Consider the following 15452-nt stretch of genomic DNA (forward strand, 5'->3'; position numbering starts at 1 on the left):
GCTTTGTGCTGTAACTCGAAACTGTTTTCCAAAGAGGTGGTTCTAGTTTGTACTCCCTCTAACAGTGAATAAGAGGCTGGGTTTTTTTGTTGTTTCTTTTTTTTAGATGGAGTTTCACTCGGTCATCCAGATTGGAGTGCAGTGGCGCAATCTCGGCTCACTGCAACCTCTGCCTCCCGGGTTCAAGCGATTCTCCTGCCTCAGCCTCCCGAGTAGCTGGGACTACAGGCACGCACCACCATGCCCGGCTAATTTTTGTATTTTTAGTAGAGGCAGGGTTTTACCATGTTGGTTAGGCTGGTCTTGAACTCCTGACCTCAGGTGTTTCACCCGCCTCGGCCTCCCAAAGTGTTGGGATTAAAGGCATGAGCCACCCTGCCTGGCTGAGGTTGGGTTTTTAAAAAGGGTTTTTTTCTTTTCAGCTTTATTGAAGTATAATTGACAAAATGTTAATATATATTTAAAATGTACAACAGGGGCTGGGCGCGGTGGCTCATGCTTGTAATCCCAGCACTTTGGGAGGCCAAGGCGGGCGGATCGCTTGAGCTCAGGAGTTCGAGACCAGTCTGGGCAACATGATGAAACCCTATCTCTACCAAAAGTACAAAAACTAGCCAGGCGTGGTGGCACATGCCTGTGGTCCCAGCTACTCGGGAGGCTGAGGTGGGAGGATAGCTTGAGCCTGGGAGGCAGAGGTTGCAGTGAGCAGAGATTGTGTCATTGCACTCCAGCCTGGGTGACAGAGTGAGACCCCATCTCAAAAATAAGTAAATAAAATAAAATATACAAAGGATGATTTTATATATGTATACATTGTGAAATGATTACCGAAATCAATTTAACACGTCTGTCACTTTACATAATTATCTTTAAAAAAAAATTTTCTTTTGGCTGTGTGGGGTGACTCATGCCTTTAATCCTAGCACTTTAGAAGGCTGAAGTGGGAGGATTGCTTGAGGCCAGGAGTTTAAAACTAGCCTAGGCAACATAACAAGACCCCATCTCTACAAAAAATTTTTAAAGATATTAGCTGGGCATGGTGGTTCTTGCCTGTAGTACTAGCTAGTTGAGAGGCTAAAGTGGGAAGATCTCTTGAGTCCAAGCGTTCAAGGTTGCAGTGAGCTATGATTGCACCAATGCACTCCAGCCTGGACAATAAAGAAACTCTGTCTCTTAAATGAAAAAAATAGAATGAGCATTTTTATTATTCCTAATTTTCACCAAAACTCGGTAGTGTTAGATTTTTATATTTTTGCCAAAATGGTGACTATGAAATGGTATCTTGTTGTGGTTTTAATTTGCTTTTCCCTGATTACTAATAGGTTTGTTGGCCATCTGTATACTTTTTTTTTTGAGTGTTTATTCAAACTTTTTGCCCATTTTTCTGTGGATTGTCTCTTTTTATAAAGCTAATTTGTTACTGATTTGTAGGACTCCTTAATATATTCTGGTATGAATCTTTTTTTCTTTTTATTTTTCAGTGCCCAGCATCCGAAGATATAGTATGACTCTTTTTGTCGAGAATATGTGTTGCAAATATCTTCTCCGACTTTGTGATTTGTCTTTTTACTTTTTACTGATAAATTCAACAATATTAAAATTAAGAATGTGTATGCATTCAAAGGCATACACATTTTTTTTTTTTTTTTTTTTTTTCTGAGACAGAGTCTGGCTCTGTCACCCAGGCTGGAGTGCAGTGGCACGATCTCAGCTCACTGCAAGCTCCACCTCCGGGGTTCAAGAGATTCTCCTGCCTCAGCCTCCCAAGTAGCTGGGACTACAGGCGTGCGCCACGACACCTGCCAATTTTTGTATTTTTAGTACAGGCGGGGTTTCACCATGTTGGCCAGGCTGGTCTCGAACTCCTGACTTCAAGTGATCCACCCATCTCGGCCTCCCAAAGTGCTGGGATTACAGGCATGAGCCACTGCGCCCGGCCAGCATACATTCTTAAGTTTAATATTGTTGAATTTATCAGTCTTTTTCTTTATGGTTAATGCTTTTATATTTTAAGAAATTCTTCCCTATTTATGAAGTTATTCTCCTGTATTCTTCATAGTTTTTTGAAGATATTCTCCTCTATTCTTTATAGTTTTTTTCCCCTTTCACATTTTCTTATATGGTATTTCACTCATCTGAAACTGATTTTTATGAATGTTGGAAGGTAGAGGTCCATTTCAGTTTTCATTTAAATAGATATGTGTTTGTCCAGGCACTGTTTATTGCAGCTTCCATCTTTCCCACACACTCTGGAATGCCACCTGTGTCATGCATGTGTGCTCCGTCTGTTTCTGTGCTCTCTATGTGCTGTCCGTCTCTTTGTCAACCTTAGATCCAGCTCTACATTGTCTTAGTTATGACAGCCTTTAAGGAGTCATGCCATCTGGGAGGGCATGTGCTTCCACCTTGTTCTTCTTCAATGATGTCTTGGTGTTCTTGGCCTCTTGTGCTTCTATGTAAATTTTAGAAACAGTTCCAATTCTGTTACAGAATCTTTTGGAGTTATTAGGACTGCACTGAACCTGTAGACCAATGTGGGGAGAACCAGCACGTTTACAATAGAGTGTACCACATTGAAAGGCAGTGTGCAGAATCGCTAAAAGGATGGAGGCAGACCTCCTGGGTGCAGATCCTAGCTCCGCTCCTCACTGGCCATGTGACCCTGGAGAATTTGACCTTAGAGTGTCTCAGTTATCTCACTTGTGTAATAGGGATCGTAGTAGTACCTACCTTATAGGGTCATAATAGTACCTACTGTATAGGGTAATTGAGAGGATTAGGTGATTACATGTCTTGCATATAATATGTGCAAAGTGCTCAGAATAGTCTCAGGCACATAGTAAAATTATATAAGTGCATGAACACCAATTATGTATATCTTCTTCAATGCCCCAAGAACGTTGTGGTTTTCTTTATAAAACTTGACCTGTAGAATATACAATCCAGTCATGTGTCACTTAACGAAGGGGAGGCATCCTGAGGAATGCATCATTAGGTGATTTTGTCATTGTGTGAACATCAGAGTGTACTTACACAAACCTAGATGGTATAGCCCACTACACACCTAGGCTATATGGTATGTAGCTTATGGCTCCAAGGCTACAAACCTGTACAGCATGTTATTGTACAGAATACTGTAGGCAACTGTAACACAACAGAAATTATTTGTGTCTCTAAACATATGTAAACATAGAAAAGGTACAGTGAAAATATGGTGTTATAAGGAATGTGTATATACTATCCCTCATGGGACCCCTGTCATATATGCAGTCCATTGTTGACTGAAATGCTGCAACTGTGTGTATTCCTACATCTCCCTACATACGTAGAATATATTATATTACATATGTATTAGTGTATAGTAAATATTCCTACATATCATATAATATATAGGAATATATATAACTTTTAAAATATATTAAAATACCTTAAAACTTTTGATGCTCTTATAAGTGGTATTTTTAAGTGTTTCTGTGTACAGTGTTGTGTTTAGTTAGTATGTTTTAAGAGCTGATTATGACCATCTTTGATAAATACTTAAATACTTGTGTTGCATGAGGTACTGCTTGGAGGCTGGGCACAGTGGCTCATGCTTGTAATCCCAGGACTTTGGGAGGCCGAGGTGGGCAGAACACTTGAGGTCAGGAGTTCGAGACCAGCCTGGCCAATGTGGTGAAACCCCCATCTCTACTAAAAATACAAAAACGAGCCGGGCGTGGTGGTGGACACCTGTAATCCCAGCTACTAAGGAGGCTGAGGCACGAGAATTGCTTGAAGGCAGGAGGTGGAGGTTAAAGTGAGCCGAGATTGTGCCATTGCAATCCAGCCTGGGCGACAAGAGCCAAACTCCGTCTCAAAAAAAAACAAAACAAAACAAAACAAAAAGAGAGAGAGAGAGATACTGCCTGGGACCAGAAATATGGACACTTTTATCTGGCTGATGGCCCATCACGATTACTGCTCTGTTCTCACAGGGTTGAACATTTTACTCACTTTACATGATTTTAAACCACTGTATCCCATTGACTTCTGTTGTTGAAACAGAGGATTTTGGCAGCCTGGTTCATTTTCTCTTGTATATCAGGTTCTTTGGGTTCACTATTTTCTTTTTAATAAGATCATGATATTTCAGTGTTTACCTATAGCTCACCCACCATTTAGGTTTTATTTCCAGTGCTCTCATGCTTCCCTAAATCCTGTACGAAAGATGCTATGTCAGGAGGCACGGTGACTCAGGCCTGTTGTCCTGGCACATAAGAAGGCGAGGTCAGGTGTTTGAGACTAGACTGAGCAACATAGGAAGCTCTCATCTATTAAAAAAACAACAAAAAAACCAAAAACAAAAAAACATGCTATGTCCTTGGCTATTCGAGCCACAGCTTTGTGCATTGACACACATCCAGCATCAGCAAGCTTTTTCTAAATGAGAACAAGCGTCATTCCTTTGTCCATTTGTCAGACTTGTCACATATGTCTCTATGGGATTATAGTTTTTTTAAAAAAAGAAAAGAAAGTAAAGGGGGAAATATCTGTAGGTTCCCCTTGCCTGTGTGTTCCTCTGCTTTCAGCTCTTCAGCACAGGCAGTCTCGGTCACGTGGCCCTGCTCACGCAGGGCCCAGACCCACGCTGCGAAGCTCTGTATGATTGTGTTTTGGGTTGCAGGAGGCAGAAACTCAAAGTGAAACCAATGAAAAAAACCAATGTGTTCTTAATGGTTTTTACCTAAACCATAAATCCCTCTCTTCGAGGGAGAGGGGAATCACCCAAGATTTGGCCCAGTTCCCTCATTAAGTTCCAGGGCTATATTTGTCTGTATTTTTTCTTTTCTTTTCTTTTTTTTTTTTTTTTTTTGTTCATATGTGTGTCAGTTTGGTGACGACCTGTGTCCAACTCACTCAAGGAAGATATTTAAAATGCAGATTCCAGGGCCTGATCTAGACTAAGGGAATAAGACAGTGGGAAGAGGAGGAGGTAGAGAGTTGAGTCTCCTGACTCCCTGGTGGTGCTGACAGTCAAACAGGACTTACTAACAATGATGAAGGTATTATGGGCTCAGATTTTTATCCATCACTACATTATCACTAAATTTTTTTTTTTTTTTGAGACCAAGTCTCACTCTGTTGCCCAGGCTGGAGTGCAGTGGTGTGATCTTGGCTCACTGCAACATCCGCCTCCTGGGCTCAAGCGATTCTCCTGCTTCAGCCTCCCGAGTAGCTGGGACTACAGGCGCACACCACCATGCCCAGCTAATATTTGTATTTTTAGTAGAGACGAGGTTTCACCATGTTGGCCAGGATGGTCTCGATCTCTTGACCTCGTGATCTGCCCACCTCAGCCTCCAAAGTGCCAGGATTACAGGTGAGAGCCACCGTGCCAGGCTTAATTTTTATATTTTTAGTGGACACAGGGTTTCACCATGTTGGCCAGCCTGGCCTCGAACTCCTGACCTCAGGTCATCCACCTGCCTCAGCCTCCCAAAGTGCTGGGATTACAGGCATAAGCCACTGCGCCTGGCCTAATGGAACATTTTTTACCAGGTTTAAAATAAGATATCTAATGCCAGATGCTGTGGCGCACACCTTTAGTCCCAGCTGCTTGGGAGGCTGAGGCAGGAGGTTTGCTTGAGCCCAGGAGTTTGAGACCTGCCTGGGCAACATAGTGAAACCGCATGTCTATATGAATAAAATAAATAAATAAATAAATAAATAAATAAATAAAATAAATGAAATAAGATAGCTAACACTTATTAAGTGCCATGTGTCAGGCAGGCACTTCACATTTAAACCTATGTGTAGGCTACTATTGTTAGTCCCACTTTATAGAAAAGGAAACTGAGGCACATAGAGTTTAAATGCTTTGCCCTGAGTCAAACACCTGAGGCAGAATTGTCATGTTCTTTGACAATCTTCAAAGCAAATTCACGATATTTGTTAATTACAAAATAACGGAGTCTCTGGCACAAATGGGCCCAAAGAGTCTGCTTGGATCATAATCATGCCTTGGTGCTATATTAGGTCCCTTATAAATTATTCATTCTTTTAGCAAGTTCTTACTGAGCATTTAGAGTCCCCGTGGCTTGGGACAGGTATTCCACAAAAGGGAGGGATGTACAGGAAGTTATACAGACAAACTAGAAACTTCTTAGCAGATGCCTGTGCATAAATGAGAGGACTTGGATTAGGGCTGGGGGGAGCGGTGCTGACAGAATTACTGTCCAGAGAGCTGTTATCTTGTTATCTGTTATCTTGGCTGTGTGCTAAATGTTTTAGGTGTATTTTTTTCATTAATTTCTCACAAGAACCCCACTGGGTTAAATTCTATGAATAATCTATTGAACAGGAAACTGAGGCTTAGAGATGTGAAGAGACTTGCCTGTGGTCATATGGCTTCGGCCTCATGGTTGTGATATGAAGGCAATGCGTATCTCTCTCTGGACCCTGGCTTTCATCCGCTGGATTTTCTGCTTTCGTCAAATAGGATTTTGTTTTCTAGAAGAGAACTGCCATCCCTCTGATAGTGACCCAGATGGCCCCATCACTAGGATCACTCTGGGCTTTAAAGAGATCATGGCTTATGATGTCAGTCATCGTTGGCTTGGCCTCTCTATTTTGTCCTCTGGTTCTGGTGTCCTCACCTGGCCCCTAGGGAATCCTTCAGAAATATTAGTATCAAGGCCATGTCCATGGCCTATAACCAGATTGGCAGATGTCTGTAGGCTGGAGGAAGCCAAGAACTGTTTTTGAAGGAGCATCATGGCTTTGTCCATCCACACTTACTGCTGTGCAGAGGTGAGGGGCCTTCTGTCCCTACTCAGGCTTCTTCATTTTCACTAGAGGATGTTCAATGTTTTGTATTGTTCCCTATGCAGATGGGTATTCAATATAATTTTTTTTTTGAGATGGAGTCTCACTCTGTTGCCCAGGCTGGAGTGCAGTGGCGCGTTTTCGGCTCACTGCAAGCTCCACCTCCCAGGTTCACGCCATTCTCCTGCCTCAGCCTCCCCAGCAGCTGGGACTACAGGTGCCCGCTGCCACACCCAGCTAATTTTTTGTATTTTCAGTAGAGACGGGGTTTCATCGTTATAGCCAGGATGGTCTCAATCTCCTGACCTCGTGATCCACTCGCCTCAGCCTCCCAAAGTGCTAGGATTACAGGCGTGAGCCACCGCATCTGGTCTCAATATAATTGTTTTTGAGCCACTTCAGAAGGGTAAAATGGAAGAAACCTTAGAAATTTGATGTCTCCATTTTACTGAAAAAGGAAGGAAAAACCTACATATTAAGTTACTTATTCAAGGTAACAACTAATTAGTGGCAAGACTGGAATCCAGTTCCTGACGCTCAGTTCAATATCTTCCTTTTACCCCTTTAATCTGATTTTACGCGAGGACTGCCCTAATGAGTCTGAATCTTGTCATGAATAAGCTGTAAGAAATTCAACTTCAAAATGATTCCTGTGGTGGGGCTTTGTTTTCAGAGGCAGGTTTACCTTCCTAATTATGAATTATTGAGGTTAATGATAAAGTGACTTTACATTTCTAAATAAATAGCGGCAGGTGATGGCAGAGGATCTCCTAAAATAGTATCAGGTCAGCTGGAAACTTTAATATTCAGCAAAGTAGAAAACCTACTTGTTGATATTACATTTGCTTATACGTGTTTTTAATGAGAAAGAAGAAAATCTAACAAAAAGATAAGAAGAGATGAGGTACATGTTGTTGTTACCATAATTATTGCATTTTGATCTATTCTCGGCCTGCTTCCTTACTGTGGAGGCCTCAAACACACAAGCATGGGTTGTCACTTATGTCATCCCTGTGACCCAGTGTCCTTGGAGAATGGGCATATGAGAGGTGCAAACTTAATAAAGAATCCATTCATTAGATGTACTTCATTCATAAAAATAATCCCACCATTACAGATTAGTTAAGACAGTAACATCAGGACCATGCCTGTAACTCGTTATAGTTGGCCTTAGGATTCAACCAGCCGAGGATCCAAAATATTCTAAAACAGAGCTGGGCGTGGTGGCATGTGCCTGTAATCCCAGCTACTTGGGAGGCTGAGGTGACTAGGAGTTCAAGACTAGCCTGGGCAACATAGTGAGACCCTGTCTCTAAAAAAATAAATAAATAAATAATGTAAAAAATTTATTGGAAAAATAAAAACAACAAAAATAATACAAATAAAAAGCAATACAGTACAACAACTATTTACACAGAATTTACATTGCATTAGGTGTTAGAAGTAATGTAGAGGTGATTTTAAGTATATGAGAAGGCTGGGCACAGTGGCTCATGCCTGTAATCCCAGCATTTTGGGCGGCTAAGGCAGGCGGGTCACTTGAGCTCAGGAGTTCAAGACCAACCTGGGCAACATAGTGAGACTCTGCCTCTACCAAAAAAAAAAAAAAAAAATACACGTGAACAAACTGAGACTGGAAAAAAAAGTTAAAAGTAAAAAGTATATGAGAGATTGTGCATAGGTTATTTGCACATACTATGCCATTTGACATCAGGGACTTCAACACCTGTGGATTTTGATATCTGCGGGGGTCCTGGAACCAGTCTGCTGGGGCTGCCAAGGAACAACGTGTACCTTGTTATTCTGCTCTACCTACATCCTTTATTTTGTCACATTGGCATTGAATTGAGATACATCAGAAGAACCTTGTGGCCTTTTTCTTTTCCCATTTTATAGCAGTGTAATATTCACCCAGAAAAGTGCAGATCATAAACATACACTTCCTTGAACTTTCACACAATGAACACACTTCCATGAGCTTTCAAGTGCCAAAGACCTGATTTCTAAATTCTGCCTTTACCATCTGTGTAACTTTAGGAAAATTAACCTTTTGGGGCCTCCATTTTCTCACCTATCAAATGGGGAAGAAATAATAGCCTTTCATAGGTGTTTGTAAGGAGTGAAAGATAATACATCTCATTTACCTGGCATTTTTCTTCCTTTCCTCTGATTGCAAGAGAGCTTTTGAAAAGAGACACCCTCTGCCGGGCACAGTAGCTCACGCCTGTAATCCCAGCACTTTGGGAGGCCGAGACGGGTGGATCACGAGGTCAGGAGATCGAGACCATCCTGGCTAACACGGTGAAACCCCATCTCTACTAAAAATACAGACAAAATTAGCTGGGCGTGGTGGCGGGCGCCTGTAGTCCCAGCTACTCGGGAGGCTGAGGCGGGAGAATGGCGTCAACCCGGGAGGCAGAGCTTGCAGTGAGTCGAGATCGCACCACTGCACTCCAGCCTGGGCAACAGAGTGAGACTCCGTCTCAAAAAAAAAAAAAGAAAGAAAAGAAAAGAGACCCCTTCAAAGTGCATTAGATGTGTGGTAGTTGAATGTTTGTAATGTTAAGTAACAGCTCATTTGTGTGTGGAAATGTAGTTAATAATATGGACTATGGAAAATAAATGACTAAAAGTTTTCCTACTTCCTACTTTGCTACAACTGATTTTTGACCATTTATCTCAGGGACTCATCTGAGAACGACGATTAAAGTAGTAAATTAGTCTGGGAGTGGTGGCTCATGCCTGTAATCCCAGCACTTTGGGAAGCTGAGACGGGAGGATCACTTTAGCCCAGGAGTTTGAGATCAGCCTGAGCAACACAGTGAGAGTCACTGTATCAAAAAATGAGTGAATGAATGGGAGAAAGAAGGAAGGAAGGAAGGAAGGAGAAAGAAGGAAAGGAGGAAGAGAAAGAGGAAGGAAGGAGAGAGAGGGAGGGAGGGAGAGAAAGAGAGTGAAAGAGGGAGGGAGGGAAAGAAAGGGAAGGAAGTGAGGGAGGGAGGGAGCGGAGGGAGGGAGATTAAAACTATAAGTGGTAGATTAAAGATTCATTCCGGCCGGGCGTGGTGCCTCACGCCTGTAATCCCATCACTTTGGGAGGCTGAGACAGGCAGATCGCCTGAGGTCAGGAGTTTGAGACCAGCCTGGCCAACGTTGTGGAACCCCGTCTCTACTGAAAACACAAAAATTAGCTGGGCGTGGTGGTGGGTGCCTATAATTCCAGCTACTTGGGAGGCTGAAGCAGGAGAATCGCTTGAACCTGAGAGGCGGAGGTTACAGTGAGCCAAGATCGCGCCATTGCACTCCAGCCTGGGCCACAGAGTGAGACTCCATCTCAAAATAAATAAATAAATAATAAAGATACATTCTACTTATTCATACATACCCTGCCTCATCCCAAAAAGGGATTGTAGAAATACACATAGTGAGTACAATAGTATTTATTTCTCCATGGGGAAAAATATTATAGAAATAAAAATATGTTAAACTTACAAAGACTCTAATGAGTCTATTTTAACCTCAGCCAGTCTGTTTTAAATAGTGTCATGAATTTCTGGGGCCTGATTCTAGTTTTTTCAGATTTTGTTTATTTGCTAAAAGTTTCTTTCATTATACCCACAGTTTTTTCGTGTTGTTCCTATTACTATTATTATTTTTGAAATAGTCTTGCTCTGCCGCCCAGGCTAGAGTGCAGTGGCGCAAATTGGCTCACTGCAACCTCCGCCTCCTGGGTTCAAGTGATTCTTGTGCCTCAGCCTCCTGAGTAGCTAGGATTACAGGCGTCCACCACCATGGTAATTTTTGTATTTTTAGTAGAGACAGGGTTTCTCCATGTTGGCCAGGCTGGTCCCAAACTCCTGACCTCACGTGATCCATTCACCTTGGCCTCCCAAAGTGCTGGGATTACAGGTGTTAGCCACCATGTCCGGCCTCATATTATTTTTAATTGACACAGAATAATTATACATATTTATGATGTTCAGTGTGATATTTCCATTCATGTGTACAATATGCAATGGTCAAATTATGGTAATTAGCATATCCATCACCTCTAACGTTTATCATTTCTTTGTGTTGGAAGCATTCAAAATCTGCTCTTCTAGCTATTTGAAAATATACAATAAATTGTTGTTATAGTGCTGTCGAACTATATAATTGAACTATATATAACTGTTGTTATAGTGCTGTAGAACACCGGAACTTACTCCTCCTATCCAGCTAGTACAACAGTATTTAAAATAAATAAGTGGGTGAACTGAGGCTAAACCTTGAGATAAGGTTGATGCACAAACTGTATATCCTGAGATCCAGATCATCTACTAGACATGGTCTGCAGAGTTGGCTTTCAGCTTCCTAAGAGCACTCAAAGCAAGAAGGGGAAGTGATTAATGATACAATTTGGAAGGTCCTTATAATGTGAAAACAAACTGGTAGTGCAGGAGAAACTCGGTTTTTTTCTTGGCCCCCAGACCTTCCTTCCATGGGTCTTCACAAAGAGAATTTAATGTGAACTAGCAGGATTCCCTGTAATAAATAAGAGTATCTGATTTATCATACTGTGCCTCTGTGTAGACAGGTGACACAAAGCCAGTGCTTCATTTAATAAAAACAGTTTGATAAATGACCATAAAATAGATTAAATTATATTCTCTAATATTACAATGGTGCTATGAAAATTAACAGAGACTGGGCTGGGCGTGGTGGCTCACACCTGTAATCCCAGCACTTTGGGAGGCCGAGGTGGGCAGATCACCTGAGGTCAGGAGTTGGACCAGCCTGGCTAACCTGGCGAAACCCCGTCTCTACTAAAAATACAAAATTAGCCGGGCATGGTGGCGGCCACCTGTAATCACAGCTACTCGGGAGACTGAGGCAGGAGAATTGCTGGAACCCGGGAGGCAGAGGTTGCAGTGAGCCGAGACGTGCCATTGCACTCCAGCCTGGGTGACAGAGTGGGACTCCATCTCAAAAAAAAAAAGAAAAAGAAAAAGAAAAAAAAAGAAAGAAAATCAACACAGACTGGGTTACATGCAACCTGTGATAAATTCATTTATGAAATTTTAAACCTACCAAGCAGTGTCATGGTAAATGGAAATTCTATGTGTAGGCCAGATGGAGAAAGAAGCACTTTCTATGACTGTTCTAAGGAAGACCCCAGGGAGGAAGTATGGTCTTTAGGAAGCACTTAGGAAACAGAGCTTAGCACTTTGGGAGGCCAAGGCAGGAGAATCGCTTGAGCCCAGGAGTTTGAGGCTGCAGTGAGTCTAATAAAAAAAAATTACACATAATAAAACAATTAGCCAAACATGGTGGCACATGCCTGTAGTCCCAGCTGCCCAGGAGGCTGAGGTAGGAGGATCGCTTAAGCCCAGGTGGTTGAGGCTGCAGTGAGCCATGATTGCACCATTGCACTCTAGCCTGGGCAACAGAATATCTCAACAAGAAATAAATAATCTTATCTTTTTTTTAAATAACAAGTTTGGGGAGTTAGGAGAAATTTAAAGTAAAAAAATGAAAAAATAAAGGCCGGGCGCGTGGCTTATGCCTGTAATCCCAGCACTTTGGGAGGCCGAGGTGGGCGGATCACTTGAGGTCAGGAGTTCAAGACTAGCCTGGCCAACATGGCAAAACCCCGTCTCTAATAAAAATATATAAATTAGCTGGGTGTGGTTGTTGGCACCGGTAATCCCAGCTACTCAGGAGGCTGAGGCAGGAGAATCACTTGAACCCGGGTGGCAGAGGTTGCAGTGAGCCGAGATCGCACCAATTCACTCCAGCCTCAGCGACAGAGCAAAACTCCGTCTCAAAAAAAAAAAAAAAAAAAAAAAAAAAAAAAAAGCTGTTTGGGGCTGTCAGTAATTTTAAGTGTGTAAAGGGAGTCCTGAGACCAAAAAGTTTGAGAAGCCCTGTGTTAGGCATATGTATACCGTAGACTGTGTTGGTACCGTGCACTAATTATGCTACACAAAGCAGCTGTGGTTCCTAAGATCAAAGACATACTACCATCACCCACTGGATACACACCTACAAATAAATATCCACAATTATTCCAAAGAGTATTGACACTTCTGTTTATTAATGTGTTTATACAACAGATATTTATTTAGCACTGAGATTAGGGCTGTTTGATAAAACAGAAAAGGCCTCTGCCCTTGTGGAGCTTGTTTCTAATAAAAGTGCATCACAAAATCCGAAAAGATGAATAGATACAGTTGGTATTTGTGACTCTGGAATTGGTAGAAAGAGAACCTCTGAGGGAATGAATCCTGTTCTTTACCATGGGCCAGGCACTGTGCTGAGTGCATGTGTGCATTATTTAATTTATATAATAATCCTGTCTAGTACACAAGGTCGTATATCTTTATAGGTGAACAAATGAAAACCCACAGAAGTTAGATAATTTGTCTGGGTTGCCAGCTAATAAGAGATAGAACCAGGATTTGTGCATTTTTATAACACCCTTGTTCTAGGTAGCCTTTCTATTTTAAGGAAGCAAATTTCTCGTTTAACTCTCCACCATCCATTTTGAGACAGGGACTGGCCTTGCCATACTTACCTATTGCAAGGTAGCTTTTGGACCATGTTCTTGCAAAGGTGTAGAAACTTTCACATCCAGGTTGGGACTCTTTCATTGCAAAAGCAGCCAGGGGCATCTACAAATGTGTTGTGCATGCTGAATGCACAAATAGTGTGGTTGGGAACGACAAAGAACCCAGTTAACTGGGAAAGCCCACCTCCAGGGATGCTGACATGATACTGAATGCCAAGAAAGTATCCATGGCAAGGTCTATATTCTTCCACCATCTTTGTGCCACAGCCAGTTAAGATTTCAGATTTTTTTCTTTCATTGCCAGGGCAGACAATTGTAAATTATCTCCTAGAGGAGACCTCTCGACCTGTAAAACGTTTTAATTTGGACCTTTACAGGGATGGTGGGTTCAATCTAGGAGAACCTTTGGATTCAAAGCCAGCCAGTCTCCACTGCTTGGGGTTTTGTGGCACCTGCCATGGCAGGTATTTCTGTTCCCATAGGAGCCTCCTCTGACTTGTCTGGGCACCACCTCCCCTCCTCTCCCCACCCTCCCACATAACTTTCTCCATCAACCGCCAGAAAGACGTTGTGACTTATGGCCGTGCTTAGTGGTGACAGCTTTGTGTATTAACCCCCATCAAAAAACAGTACAATCCTGGAATCTTTCAGAAGTTTGAGGAACTGGAAATAAGTCTTTCTTTCTTTTTTTTTTTTTTTTTTTAGACAGTCTTGCTCTGTCGCCAGGCTAGAGTGCAGTGACATGATCTCTGCTCACTGCAACCTCCGCCTCCCGGGTTCAAGCGATTCTCCTGCCTCAGCCTCCCAAGTAGCTGGGATTACAGGTACCCAACACCACACCTGGCTAATTTTTTGTATTTTTAGTAGAGGCAAGGTTTTGCCATGTTGCCCAGGCTGGTTTCTAACTCCCGAGCTCAGATAATCTGCCCACCTCGGCCTCCCAAAGTGCTGGGATTACAGGCATGAGCCACCGCACCTGGCCAGAAATAAGTCTTTCTAAGTGGAGAGCACACACGTACACACTCACAAATAATCTTCATTTTAGGATGGAATTTGGTCCTCTGCTTGCCAGATTTTTGACTTACACCCTGCCTTGACCCATATCATTGTGTTGTTTGAAATACCCATTATGCGTGCAGTGGATGAAGCATAAACTACCTGTTTATGCTGGCGATGGCTGAATATGCAGAAAGGAGCACCATTTATTCTACACATGAGTTCACAGCGTTCTGTTTCCCCAGTTTCCTCTGGGTGGTTTCTTCTGTTGAAAAGCCCCTTACTTGGCTGGGCGCGGTGGCTCACGCCTGTAATCCCAGCACTTTGGGAGGCTGAGGCGTGTAGATCACAAAGTCAGGAGATGGAGACCATCCTGGCTAACACGGTGAAACCCCATCTCTCCTAAAAATACAAAAAATTAGCCAGGCGTGGTAGCAGACGCCTGTAGTCCCAGCTACTCGGGAGGCTGAGGCAGGAGAATCACTTGAACCCAGGAGGCGGAGGTTGCAGTGAGCTGAGATCGCCCCACTGCACTCCAGCCTGGGCAACAGAGCCAGACTTAGTCTCAAAAAAAAAAAGCCCCTTACTCTACCGGGCATGGTCGCTCACACCTACAATCCCAGCACTTTGGGAGGCCGAGGCAGGTGGATCACCAGAAGTCAGGAGTTTGAGACCAGCCTGGCCAACATGGTGAAACCCAGTCTCTACTAAAAATACAAAAATTAGCCAGGCGTGGTGGTGGGTTCCTGTAATCCCAGGTACTCGGGAGGCTGAGGCAGGAGAATCGCTTGAACCCAGAAGACCAAGGCTGCAGTGAGCCAAGATCGCGCCATTGCACTCCAGCCTGGGCGACAGAGTAAAACTCCGTCTCAAAAAAAAAAAAAAAGCAAAGCCGCTTACTCTAGTTAGCTTGTCAACTAAGCCCTCTCCCTGGGTATGTGATGTTTCTGCCTGTCTTCTTCCTTCCTGTGGCTTCGCTTTACAGTATTCAGATAGCTATAGCAGTCTCGGCTGCAAATCTCTTTTCCAGTGGATCATCCCCTCTTTAACTTTTGTCCTGTTAGCTTGGTGACATCTTTGTATGTTGGAGGGGCAGGCAGAA

At 42.9% G+C, this 15452-nt stretch overlaps 1 annotated feature.

The window, feature by feature from the left end:
* Positions 4325-4564: an enhancer, noted in NCBI's record as "active region_23933". NCBI's record gives its function as "activates an Ori minimal core promoter by ATAC-STARR-seq in GM12878 lymphoblastoid cells {active_cell/tissue: GM12878}" and the evidence as "EXISTENCE:reporter gene assay evidence [ECO:0000049][PMID:35858748]".

This window comes from Homo sapiens, chromosome 6 (genome assembly GCF_000001405.40).
Source record: "Homo sapiens chromosome 6, GRCh38.p14 Primary Assembly".
In the NCBI taxonomy this organism is placed as follows: Eukaryota; Metazoa; Chordata; class Mammalia; order Primates; family Hominidae; genus Homo; species Homo sapiens.